Source organism: Homo sapiens, chromosome 12, assembly GCF_000001405.40.
Source record: "Homo sapiens chromosome 12, GRCh38.p14 Primary Assembly".
NCBI lineage: Eukaryota > Metazoa > Chordata > Mammalia > Primates > Hominidae > Homo > Homo sapiens.
In genome coordinates this window covers 112,162,902-112,175,937 of record NC_000012.12, presented here as the reverse complement: position 1 = coordinate 112,175,937, position 13,036 = coordinate 112,162,902, and the positions used below count along the sequence as shown (strand labels likewise).

The following is a 13,036-nucleotide window of genomic DNA, read 5'->3' as shown; positions in this document are numbered from 1 at the left end:
GGTGAGAGCAGAGCACGTTGGAGGCGCGCGATGTGCGCAGGTCTCACCAGATTCCTCACACTGAACCCTTTCCACCAGTCCCTGAGGAAAAATACCTGACGCTGGAAGGATTTCACAAATTTGTTATTGACCGAGCCAGGCAAGATATCCGTAGCGTCTGGAGGGCGATCTTGTCCTGTGGTTACGATCTTCACTTTGAGAGGTAAGAGGGTTACCCCTCGACTCAGTTGGCACCTTGCATAGAAATTGTTTTCAGCCAAGAGCATAATTTCTGAGGAGCTGATCCGTCTCCCCTGTTGATAATGCTTTCTGAGTTATTTCGTAATTTCTGAGTTTTTTCCTAAGTGCTAAATGGGTTTTCTAACCCATTTGTAAACAAACCTGTTCTTTTTCTCCACACTCCTGACTTGGAGACTGTGCTGGTCAGCTTGGGCTGCCGTGACAGGACACCACACACTGAGCTTAAACAACAGAAACGTATTCTCTCTCAGTTCTGGAGGCTGGAAGGCCCAGATCAAGGTGTCAGCAGTGCTGGTTTCTCCTGGGGCTGCTCTCCTTGGCTCCCAGACTGCCACCTTCTCAAGGTCCTCACATGGGGTCTTCCCTCAGTACCTACCTGTGTCCTAATCTCCTGTTCTTACAAGGATACCAGTCCTGTTGGATTAGGAGCCCACGCTGATGACCTCTTTTAACCTGAATCACCTCTTTAAAGGCCCTGTCTCCAAATGTAGTCACACTGGGGATTAGGGCTTCAACATACGTATCTGTTCGGGGACTGGGAGGACACAGTTCAGTCCCATAACAGTTTCTTACCCCAAAGAACCTTATCCTCAGAGTCACACTTTGCCTCGAGTCCACATTGCCCTCGCTCCTTCCCAGGCAGGGGCACAGCTAGGCCACAGCTTGCCAGGGCTTCAGGGCTAAATATGGTTTCCCCTTTCTAGCTATAAGTGAATCCCAGGCACTTCAGAAATCACCCTGCCCTGCCCTCCCTCTGGCTCACGCACGTGTGCACATACACACACACACGCCCCTACTCAGCCTTGTCCACAGCAAGTGCACCTGGCATCAATCAATGAAAATGGCTACCAGGCCAGGCGCGGTGCCTCACACCTGTAATCCCAGCACTTTGGGAGGCATGAGGTCAGGAGCTTGAGACCAGCCTGGCCAATATGGTGAAACCCCGTCTCTACTAAAAATACAAAAATTAGCCGGGCATGGGGCACATGCCTATAATCCCAGCTACTCAGGAGGCTGAGGCAGGACAATCGCTTGAACCCAGGAGGCAGAGGTTGCAGTGAGCCGAGATTGTGTCACTGCACTCCAGCCTGGGCGACAGAGTGAGACTCCATCTCAAAAAAAAGAAAAAGAAAATGGCTACCAAGGCTGAGCATGGTGGCTCACGCCTGTAATCCCAGCACTTTGGGAGGCTGAGGCGGGTGGATCACCTGAGGTCAGGAGTTCGAGACCAACCTGATCAACGTGGTGAAACCCTGTCTCTACTACCAGCCAGGTGTGGTGGTAGGTGCTTGTAATCCCAGCTACTCAGGAGGCTGAGGCAGGAGAATCGCTTGAACCCAGGAGGCAATGGGTTGCAGTGAGCCAAGACTGCACCATGGCACTCCAGCCCGGCCAACAAGAGCCACACTCTGTCTTAAAAAAAAAAAAAAGTCAGACGAGGTGGCTCACACCTGTAATCCCAGCACTTTGGGAGGCCAAGGCGGGCAGATCAACTGAGGTCAGGAGTTGAAGACCAACCTGACCAACATGGTGAAACCCCGTCTCTACAAAAATTAGCCGAGCGTGGTGGCGCACGCCTGTAATCCCAGCTACTTGGGAGGCTGAGGCAGGAGAATCACTTGAACCTGGGAGGCGGGGGTTGTGGTGAGCTGAGATTGCGCCATTGCACTCTAGCCTGGGCAACAAGAGTGAAACTCCAACTCAAAAAAAAAAAAAAGAAAAGGAAAGAAAATGGCTACCAAAACATGCTTTTTTTAAAAATCCATTTTCAGAATTGAGAAATGCTTTACTGCTTGGTGCCAGCCTTTTGTACCATTGTTGAAGGCTCAGAGTCAGTCCCTGAATGGATCTTGCATTATGGTGGCAGGGACAAGTTTTCTGAACTTGTTTTAGAAACCCTAGCACTTTGGGAGCTGAGGTGGGAGGATGGCTTGAGCCCAGGATTTCAAGAACAGCCTGGGCAACACAACGAGACCCCATCTCTACAAAAAAAAATTAAAAATTGGCCGGGCGCATTGGCTCACGCCTGTAATCGCAGCACTTTGGGAGGCTGAGGCGGGCGGATCACAAGGTCAGGAGATTGAGACCATCCTGGCTAACACGGTGAAACCTCGTCTCTACTAAAAATACAAAAAAAAAAATTAGCCAGGTGTGGTGGCAGGCGCCTGTAGTCCTAGCTAGTCAGGAGGCTGAGGCAGAAGAATGGCGTGAACCCAGGAGGCAGAGCTTGCAGTGAGCTGAGATCGCACCACTGCACTCCAGCCTGGGCGATAGAGCGAGACTCCATCTCAAAAAATAAATAAATAAAAATAAAAAAATTAAAAAATTAAAATTTTAAAATTAGGCAAGCAAAGTGGCTCGCACTTGTGGTCCCAGCTACTGGGGAGGCTGAGGTGGGAGGATCGCTTGAGTCCAGGAGTTCAAGGCTGCAGTGAGCTATGATTGCCCCACTGCACTCCAGCCCAGGCAACAGAGCAAGATTTTGTCTCTAAGGAGAAAAAAGTTGTGTGACACACTGCAGGCTGATGCTATTAGGAGCTCCTCCTTCACCCTCACGTGCTGCTGCCGACACACAGGAGTGAGGCATGGGTGGGTGCATGGTGCCACCTCCCAGAAGGATGCAGCATTCCCACTCCCACCGGCATGCTTGGCTTGCTTCTTTTGAAAGAGCTTTCCCCATGAGGAGCTGTCCAGGCACCAAGAAACAACCTGGAAGGCGAGGCCGTCTTCTGAATGTGCTCCAGGAGCTGAGGACAGGGCTCTGTAAGAGAAATGCAACAGTCATCCCGGTGTGCCCTGCCTCACTTTGCCCCTCTCCCCCTGTCCCCACCCCAAGGTGCGCATGCATCGATGTCCGACATGCACAGAAGGCCTCAAGAAAGTGGACCCTGGAGATGGACGTGGCACTTGTGCAGTACATCAACCAGCTATGCCGCCACCTCGCCATCACACCCGCACGGCTCCATCCCCATGAGGTGTACCTGGACCCCGCGGATGCTGCTGACCCCAGAGTGGCCTGTCTCCTGAGTATGTGGCCCTGGGCCTATCCCCTCCCCTGCTGCCTGATGCGGGCATGCCCCATGACAAGGGGCATTTACAAGGGCTAGATTCATTTAGACGTCCATCGAACGAACACTTATGAACACCTGCTATGCGCCAGGTGTGCAAGGAAGAGTGGGCTGACGAAACAGGGAGGGCAAGGCAGGGAGCCAGGACTGTGGCCTAATTAGTCTGGGGCCTTTTTTAATGCCAGTGACAACAAAGCCAGGGAGCAGATACAGAAATGCACGGCTGCGGGGAATGCCCAGGCCGCTGCCTGGAGGCCCCGCTGAGGCCAGGCTGCCATGGGGAGTGAGAAGCATTTATAGTCTGATAACTTGCAGTAGAGGCATTAGCCTTCATAATGGGGAACACCATGTTTTTGTTAAAAGCTAGGATTGCAGGAAGGCCCATTCAGGTGCCCCTGTGTTTCCAAAGAGAGAAAGCCGTTCTCTGGGCCAGGCGCGCTAGCTCATGCCTGTAATCCCAGCACTTTGAGAGGCCAAGGCGGGCGGATCACTTGAGGTCGGGAGTTTGAGACTAGCCTGACCAACATGGAGAAACCCCATCTCTACTAAAAGTACAAAATTAGCCGGGCGTGGTGGCGCATGCCTGTAATCCCAGCTACTTGGGAGGCTGAGGCAGGAGAATCGCTTGAACCCGGGAGGTGGAGGTTGTGGTGAACCAAGGTCACGCCATTGCACTCCAGCCTGGGCAACAAGAGCAAAACTCCGTCTCCAAAAAAAAACTAGGATTGCACACAAAAAATAAATTGTTAATTCCCAGACGCCCCCCGTTTACAAGGTATTGGCGAGCAGTTCATTACACTCGTCCCAGGGGCTGTGCTCAGCCGCTTGCCTCATCAGCAACAGACACAGAGCCCTGGCTCTTTCCTGGGTGCCAAGGAGGTAAAGGTGGACAAGAGGTTGTCCTGACTTCCTTCTGTCACAGTGAGAAGGGTGAAGGACTGAAGGGCAGTGTGCCAGTGGCACAGTTTCCTGGTTTTGATATGACATCACCATTGGGGGACACTGGGAGAAATGTACACGGGACTCTTTGTGCCATTTTTGCAACCTCCTATATTATTATTTCAAAATTGTAAGTCAAAAACTAACGTAGTGCACAGCCCTGGCATGGCCCTGAAGGTAGATGAGGGGCCTTGGACTCCTTAAGAGCCAGCACCTCCATCTGGCCAGCCAGGCCCTCGCCCTTTGTGTCTGCTTGGCATAGGCACAGGCACATTGGGGGCCGCTCACTCACTGACAGCATCTCCAGGGTCCCAGGTAAAAAATCCACCAATCCTGTTCGCAGTGATAGGGTTGCCTGTGTTGCCTGTGAGTCAGGCATCTCAGCCACCTGGCCGAGATCTCAGCCTGACTGCTCCTGCGCCCTCAGACGTGCCCATCGAGAGCCTGCGCCTGCGCTTCGCCTTGCTGCAGTCCCTCAACACCACACTGGAGACCTTCTTCCTGCCCCTGGTGGAGCTGCGCCAGACACCCATGTATACCCACAGCATCGCCGCCCTGCTGAAGGAGGCCAAAGGTCAGTGCCTGCACCTGCCCTGGCCCTGCAGGAAGAGAGAGGTGACCTGCAAGACACCAGGGCCAGAATCCACGGGCAGCGTCCTTGGGCAGCCCCGCCAGGAAGATGCCACCCCACCTCAACCTTTCATGTAGCAGGCAGGGCTCCTCTGGAGCAACAGGCCCACCCAAGGGAAGTTACTTTAATTATAAAAGTAACATGCTCTGAAAAATAAAATTATTTTTAAGGTTTTCAAATTAATTAGAAATCATATATGAAGGTCTGTTTACTATCTGGCCTCCACATCCCTACATCCCAGAAGTGACATTGTTAACAGATGAGTCTCTCTCCTTCCAGACTTTTCTCTTGACATATAAACAGACACATGTGTGCACACACACAGCTTTTTGTCTTTTTTTAAATTAAAAATAGGTATCATTTTCTACATTCCATTTTGCAACTCTAGTTTGTTTGCATTGTTTCTAGAAATTGGATGTCTCCTGGGAATGACAAAGGGTATATGCTGGGCGGATGCTGACACACCACCCTCCACAGTCAGGGCCCGGCTCTACTGCCACCAGGGGGCCTGAGAGTGCCACACCCAGGGACCGGAAGAGAGTCTTGGGGGGACTGGGAAGGAAGGGACAAAGCCCCACCCAAGCCTCTCCCACGTTCCTCTCCTTAGGGCTGATCTTCTATGACACGAAGGTGACCGTGATGAATCGAGTGCTGAATGCCACTGTGCAGAGGACAGCGGACCACGCGGCCCCTGAGATCACCTTGGACCCACTGGAAATTGTGGGAGGTGGGGTTGGCTGCGGAGAGCAAAAAATGCAAAATGGCAGTGCCTAAACACACTAGCGGATTTCTGGAACATAAAAGAAGGGGGTCCAGGGCTGGTGCAGCGGTTCCTCCTGTCGTTCTGCTGGAGCGCCCTGGTGTGTGGCTTCCTGCTGGAAGGTCCCCTCAGGAGCTCAGGGAAGGGGCATAGCAGAAGGAGCTTGGCTCCCGGGGGCCCACCCAGCTGCATGGGGTCAGGTGGGGCAGGCTTTGCTCTGATCAGCCATGTGCCTGCCAAAAATGGGGATTCCAGCATCAAAGGAAAGGGAGAGAAGGTCACTGGGGAGGCTCCCCAGAGTCTCTGCCACAGCGTATAGACAGAAGGGGGATATGCGCAGAGGAAACGAGAGAGGAGTTGGGGGGCGAGGACCTCCCCAAGAGGCAGAGGGAAGCCTCTAGAAGATGAGAAGGGGCCAAGCACTGGGGGCCCAGGAGGGCAGGTTCCAAAAGTGGGAGCCATGAGTGCTAAGGCACAGAAGGCTCTAAGGTGTTCTGAGGGCAGAGAAGGCACAGGGGGCCGAGCGAGGGAGCAGGGGTCCAGGGACAGGCACAGGCCTGCTAGGCCCAGGGTCTGTCCTCAAGGGGAGGGGAGAGGGCGGCCACGGCGGGGTGCTTTGATCAGCTCATCTCACTTTCCAGGGGAAATCAGAGCTTCTGAAAACTCCTACTTCTGTCAGGCTGCCAGGCAGCTGGCCTCAGTGCCGTCGTCTCAGCTCTGCGTCAAGCTGGCCAGTGGCGGTGACCCCACATATGCCTTCAACATCCGCTTCACTGGCGAGGAGGTCCATGGCACCAGTAAGTGGTGGCCCGCCAGGCTCCACGCTGGAGGAGCTGTGTTTAGTGTCCAGCCTTAGCCCCAGCTGCCCAAGACCTCCATTTCCAAGAGTAAAAGCCACATCCTCAGCACTTGTGCTGCAGAAGCCAGGTCTGCACCCAGAGTGGCCTCACGCCCGTGTCCTCCAGACCAGCCCCCTGTGGAAGCCTCGGCCAGTCCCTGCTGGGCTTGGGGACGGCACCTCTGCTCAGGGCCCTCCTCGGTGCTGATTGGCCCCCTCCCCGGGAAGGGCCCTGGCTGAGGAGTTGGTGGGCCTAAAGGCTTGTGTGTGCCCCATGAGAGGCAGGGTGTTGGGGAGTCCTTGGTTAAGATGGCACCATAGCACTCTTCAGGGATGAGGACTGGCAGCTGAGCAAGTGCTCCCTTGTGACCTCTTATGCTTAGCCCCAGACATTCAGGAAACGTGTCCACTGCAGATGGAGAAGAAAGCTAGTTTCTCCACAGCCGGGCACACTGGAAGGAAAGGCTGTCCGGGCAGGAGGGAGCCCCCACCCAGCTCCTTCTCCCCTTTCCTCTGATCTGCCCCCACGGGAACGCAGCTGCCTCCCAGACGGGGGACCCTGGCATCCTATGGGCAGGCCTCCTAGGCCTCTCTGAGAGCAACTCTGGTTCACTGACAGCCCAGACTCACGCTCGACACCTTATCCTTCCCACAGCAGCGAACCTGCCCAGAGTGCCAGCCCTGGCCCATCCTACACATAGGGAAACTGGGACTCTACAAAGCCAAGTCACTTCCCAAGGTCATGCAGCCAGCTGGGGTTCCAGGGTCCAGGCCCCTGGCCTTCCAGGCGTCAGCAGTCAGGACGCTCCTGCTTCTCCTTGAAGCAGAGGTGAGGGCCAGGCCCACCATCTGCCCCTGCACTGGGCCCCCACACTGGGTTTCCACATGGCTCTTACCAAGCAGGGTGTGGGCACAGCTGTGCTCAGAGCTCCCTGACCTCAGGGTACCGATAGGGAACACAGGGAAGGCCAGAGGAGATTTACAACAAAACCAAAGGCCCATCTTGAATGGCGGCGGGAGAGGATGAGCAGTTACCGTTGCCCTTTGCACATTCACACATTTGTCCATTCACTCACGCATTCATCGGACATACGCGAGCCCGGGCACTGGGGGAGGCAGTGCTGAGTGAAACAGGTGGTCCTGCCCTCAGCCTGGCCCAGAGGGACAGACATGGACCAAACAAGTCCACAACTCAGGCAGGCTTGCAGCTGTGAGAGGTTGCCTGTGTGGGGACCTGCGGTGACCTCACTGAATCTTCGAATGGCCTTCGGGGTAGGTACGGTCACTCTCCCATTTGACAGACAGGTGACTGAGCCTCAGGGACATCTTGCCCTCCGTGGTATCCCTGGGTGGCCCCACTAGTGAGTGGAGAGCAGGATTGGACCTGAGGCCTCCCAGGCCTGGGGTGGCTTCTTTCTACCCCGCCACAGCGGCAGGTAGGCCGTGGAAGGAGTAGCCGCTCCAGCCAGCAGGTGAGAGGGAGGGAACGGTGTCGCCTCCCGCCGGGACACCCCAGGTGCCCATGTGTCTCGTCTGTCCTACAGGCGGCTCTTTCCGCCACTTCCTGTGGCAGGTGTGTAAGGAGCTGCAGAGTTCCTCGCTGTCGCTGCTGCTGCTGTGCCCCAGCTCAGCTGTCAATAAGAACAAGGTAGGCAGAGGCCGGGAGGAGGCTCCACGCCCCCGAGCTCATGTCCTGCGCAGTGGCTGGGGTGGCGGGCAGTGTGTGTCTCATCAAAGCCAAACCGTTTCAGAAACCCTCCCAATCTGTGGGGACAGGTCCTTGCCTCACTGGATGGGCAAGCTCTGGGAGCTTGCAGTGACTTCTCTCCTGCCTGCCACAGGGTATGGTGGCTTGAAACACATGTTCCCTGGCGGGCACAGAGGCCCACGCCCAGGTCACCTCATGCCCACCTCCACTTCCAGGGCAAGTATATCCTGACCCCGAGCCCCATCACCTACGGGGAGGAGCAGCTGCTGCACTTCCTGGGGCAGCTGCTGGGGATTGCAATTCGGGCAGACGTCCCGCTGCCCCTGGACCTCCTGCCCTCCTTCTGGAAGACGCTGGTGGGCGAGCCCTTGGACCCTGAGCAAGACCTGCAGGAAGCGGATATCCTCACCTACAATTACGTCAAGAAGTTTGAGAGCGTGAGTGCAAGGCACAGTTCTGGGGGGCTGCAGAACCCGGGGCCTCCCCGCCACCTTGCTTAGGCCTCCATGCAGACCCGAGCTCCCCGCTGAGGCTGGGTTGGGATCCCACAGAGGACCTTAGGGGTGTGAGCCATGTGCCAGGAAGGCTTATTTCATGGGGACAGAGGCCTCTGGCCTCCCTCCCTGCTGGCAGCAGAGATTGGAGGTGACATGACCAGCCCTGCTGGCCCTCCCCTCCCACATTGGTGCTCATTGCCTGGCCATGGGCAAGGGCTCCTGGAGCTGAGTGAACAGGCACTGGGAGAACAGCTGTAGGGGTGAAGGTTAAGAGTTTTTTCAGGGACTCAGAGCACAGGAGTCAGCCCTGGGACCACCTGAGGTCCACCAAGGGGGAGGCATCAGGATGGAGCCCTTCCTGCCTGTCCAGGGCATGCGTACGCCACGCACAGATGTTGACAGCATGGTGCTGTTGCCCAGTGCCCCCCTGGAGGGAGATGGAGTCCACAGTCCTTCCGTTCACTCAGTGGCCGTCACTGAGGCCCAGTCACGGGCCAGCCAGGCTCTGGGCACTCGCCCTGTCCTCAGGGAGTGTCCAGGCTCGTCTCCTTCATGTTGGAGGGCGGAGGGCTTTATTCCATCATCACAAGGCCAGGAGGAAAGTGAGGCTCACCAAAGGGAGGTGACTTGCCTGGGCCCTCACAGCTGGCAGGGAGCAGAGCCACCAGGAGCCCAGGGCTGCCTGCTCTGACTTCCGGGCTCTCCAGCACCACGTGCCCTACAGCTGAGAGAGCCATCCTGGCTGAGTGTGGAGGGCAACGTCCCACCCAGCGCCCCTCAAGGCCACGAGAGTGGACGTCGTGCCTGAGGCCCGGCAGAAGCTGCTCTCTCCTGGGCCTCAGGTGAAGGAGGTGCCAGCGGCTTCTGCCTATGCCGGCAGAATACTCCATGGCCGACTGAGGCACTGCCTGGCCAGGTCTCTGGTCTCTGCCATTGTCCCCCTGGGTCACTCAGGGCAGCCATTGCAAGACAATAGCAGAGCCAGAGTCCCGGATGCCAGTGGCTTCTCGGTAGAAACAGGGATGACAAGGCATTGTCTAAAGGGTGGAAGAACACCCACAGTGGGCTGGGGGTTTATGCGTCTCCTGCACTCCTCCGAGGAGTCCTCCTGGGGCTCTGGGTGCAGCACAGGCTGGGGCAGCAGGGGATGTGAGGCGGGGTCCCGGTAGACAGGCCAGCTGAGGCTTCTGGCTACAGGGATGGCCAAGGCCCCAGAGGGTATGGGATGCAGAACCACATGGTGTTGTGGGGTGCATACTAGGAAGAAGTGCTCTCGACTTGTATCAGTGGAGTGTCTGCGGTGAAGGGGTAGGGAGGTTGCTACTAAGGAGACTCCAGGCTTAGACCCGAATGTCCATCCACCTGTCACTGTCCCCAAGCTGCAGTCAGTCTCCTTTGGGTCCGACCCTGTCGTCTCCCTGGTAGCCCAGCAAGCACAGTGCGAATCAGTTTCCCCTGGACGCTGATCCTGGTCGCCATATGTGGGGAGGCGACAGCCTGTACACCTCCACAGACAGGACTAAGTCAGGGCTGTCTGGTGGCAAGGGACAGAAATCCCAACTCCAACAAGCTTTAGAAAAAAATTGTTTAAAATGAGTTGCTCTTAGGCCGGGCGCGGTGGCTCACGCCTGTAATCCCAGCACTTCGGGAGGCCAAGGTGGGCAGATCACGAGGTCAGGAGATTGAGACCATCCTGGCTAACACAGTGAAACCCCGTCTCTACTAAAAATACAAAAAATTAGCCAGGCATGGTGGCGGGCGCCTGTAGTCCCAGCTACTTGGGAGGCTGAGGCAGGAGAATGGTGTGAACTCGAGAGGCGGAGCTTGCAGTGAGCTGATATCGCGCCACTGCACTCCAGCCTGGGCGACAGAGCAAGACTTCATCTCAAAAAAAAAAAAAAAAAAAATTAGTTGCTCTTAAAACAAAAAGCATGATGGGTTTGACTTCAGGCAGGGCCAAATCCAGGTGTTCAAACAGTATCATCTGGTATTGGTCTCAGGCCTCTGATCCAGATTGCTTTAAAAAAAAAAAAAGAAAGAGGACAGGCGCGGTGGCTCAGCTGTAATCCCAGCACTTTGGGAGGCTGAGGCGGGTAGATCACGAGGTCAGGAGTTCAAGACCAGCCTGGCCAAGGTGGTGAAACCCCGTCTCTACTAAAAATACAAAAATTAGCCAGGCATGGTGGCGGGTGCCTGTAATCCCAGCTACTCGGGAGCCTGAGGCAGAGAATTGCTTGAACCCAGGAGGCAGAGGTTGCAGTGAGCTGAGATTGCGCCACTGCACTCCAGCTGACAGAGCGAGAATCTGTCTCAAAAAAAAAAAAAAGAAAAAGCGGTCTGGGTGCAGTGGCTCACACCTGTAATCCCAGCGCTTTGGAAGGCTGAGGCAGGTAGATCACCTGAGGTCAGGAGTTAGAGACCAGCCTGGCCAACATAGTGAAACCCAGTCTCTACTAAAAATACAAAAATTGACCAGGCATGGTGGTGGGCGCCTGTAATCCCAGCTACTCGGGAGGCTGAGGCAGGATAATTGCTTGCACCCAGGAGGCGAGGGGTTGCAGCGAGCCAAGATTGCGCCATTGCACTCCAGCCTGGGCAACAAGAGCAAAACTCCGTCTCAAAAAAAAAAAAAAGCAAGCATAATTAGCCTCAAGCAGTCTCTCCCAGCGCACGGGCAGAGGTGGCCTCCAGTGGTAAAGGGTTTCCCATCATAGTCGGTCCATGCCAGTGAGAGAGGATCGCTGCCTCCAAACAGACGTGGGAAGAGGCCTGGAATGTGGGTCTCTTTAGCCTGGCCTGGGTCACACGCCCGGCCCTGAACTGATGGCAGGTTCTGATTGGCGAAAGCTGTGTCACATGCTCATCTACACGGCCGAGGGTAGACCCCACCAGCTGCGCTTGGGGTTTACCCAGCCACCTGGGGATCAGGGTTCCACCTCCCATGGCCTCATAATGAGCCTCGCTCTGCCTCCACCCTCCAGATCAATGATGAGACCGAGCTGGAGGCCCTGTGCGCTGAGATCGCCTCCCAGCACCTGGCCACGGAGAGCCCTGACAGCCCCAACAAGCCCTGCTGCAGGTTCACCTACCTGACCATGACGGGCGAGGAGGTGGAGCTGTGCAGCCGGGGCCGGCACATCCTTGTGGCGTGAGTGTGTGCGCGTGTCAGGGGCTGGCAGGGGCTGGCCCGGCCAGCCAGCCAGGGTATGACAGCAGCATCTGTTCCTGGGCAATGACACGAGGACCTAGGTCAGGTGACAGGTGGATTTCACCAGGAGAGGGAGATGAGGCAGGATGGTGGGTGCCAAGAAAGAGGGTCCTCAGCAGAAGGGGTTTACTAAGAAAACAGCAGCTCTGAGGCGGCGGCACCAGAGGCAGGAAAGGACTGGGATGACCAGGGCGGCTGGGCCCCAGGCCTCTCCCAAGAGAGGATCCGGGACCTCCAGCTGAGTGGGTGTGGCCCCCAGACCCAGCCTCTTCGGCGGTGTTCTCCCTCACCTGTGCTCCTCACCCGGGCAGGTGGGAGAACAAGGACATCTACGCGGCAGCCATCCGGAGCCTGCGGCTGCGGGAGCTGCAGAATGTGGAGTGCGTGACGGCCGTGCGGGCCGGCCTGGGCTCCATCATCCCCCTGCAGCTGCTGACCATGCTCAGCCCACTGGAGATGGAGCTGCGCACCTGCGGCCTCCCCTACATCAACCTCGAGTTCCTCAAGGTAGACATCCCAGGGCCAGGCTGGGCGGGGAGGTGGTGAGCCCCAGGCGTGCCTCCCTGTCACCCTCAACTCCAGCAGCAGGCATCGGCAGTGGCCTGTCTCAGCTCTGTCCTTGCCACAGACCTGTATCATTGTCATCATTGTCATCTCCCTGTGCTCACAGCCCACACGTTGCACCCTGCCCCAGGATTGGGCCTGGCCTGCAGACCCCAGGGCTGGGGAGGCACTGGGTAGGTGGGGCTCCAGGGCTCCTGACACCTGGACCTCTCCTCCCCAGGCCCACACCATGTACCAAGTGGGGCTGATGGAGACGGACCAGCACATCGAGTTCTTCTGGGGGGCCCTGGAGATGTTCACCCAGGAGGAGCTGTGCAAGTTCATCAAGTTTGCCTGCAACCAGGAGCGCATCCCGTTCACCTGCCCCTGCAAAGATGGGGGTCCCGACACTGCCCATGTGCCCCCGTACCCCATGAAGATCGCCCCCCCAGATGGCACAGCAGGTACCGCCCTCCCCTGGCCATGTCCCAAGTAGGGACACACTAGCCTTTCTCTGTTTGGAACTGGGGCTGCCAGGCCCCATGTGAAGGGAGAACAATGAACAGGAGCCCCACGTGCCAAAACTCAGACATCATTGAGGATT

General features: G+C 56.6%; 1 protein-coding gene and 1 non-coding gene across 3 annotated transcripts in view, besides 1 other annotated feature; both read left to right on the top strand.

The window, feature by feature from the left end:
* Positions 1-13,036, top strand: part of HECTD4 (HECT domain E3 ubiquitin protein ligase 4) — a 222,237-nt gene that overhangs the window by 206,494 nt on the left and 2,707 nt on the right. For both annotated transcript variants that reach the window (NM_001388303.1, NM_001109662.4), the window contains exons 66-75: positions 79-202; positions 3,077-3,267; positions 4,675-4,821; positions 5,486-5,605; positions 6,280-6,435; positions 8,021-8,124; positions 8,400-8,621; positions 11,663-11,829; positions 12,201-12,396; positions 12,674-12,896. In NM_001388303.1, the coding sequence (NP_001375232.1) occupies positions 79-202; positions 3,077-3,267; positions 4,675-4,821; positions 5,486-5,605; positions 6,280-6,435; positions 8,021-8,124; positions 8,400-8,621; positions 11,663-11,829; positions 12,201-12,396; positions 12,674-12,896 (1,650 nt within the window). The remainder of the gene's footprint in view (positions 1-78; positions 203-3,076; positions 3,268-4,674; positions 4,822-5,485; positions 5,606-6,279; positions 6,436-8,020; positions 8,125-8,399; positions 8,622-11,662; positions 11,830-12,200; positions 12,397-12,673; positions 12,897-13,036) is intronic.
* Positions 9,384-9,990: an enhancer, noted in NCBI's record as "H3K27ac-H3K4me1 hESC enhancer chr12:112603752-112604358 (GRCh37/hg19 assembly coordinates)". NCBI's record gives its function as "activates a minimal SCP1, AML or CMV promoter by ChIP-STARR-seq in naive and primed H9 embryonic stem cells {active_cell/tissue: H9 hESC(naive and primed)}" and the evidence as "EXISTENCE:reporter gene assay evidence [ECO:0000049][PMID:30033119]".
* Positions 12,617-12,680, top strand: MIR6861 (microRNA 6861). Its single transcript, NR_106921.1, has one exon. It is a non-coding gene; the product is annotated as a microRNA 6861 (primary transcript).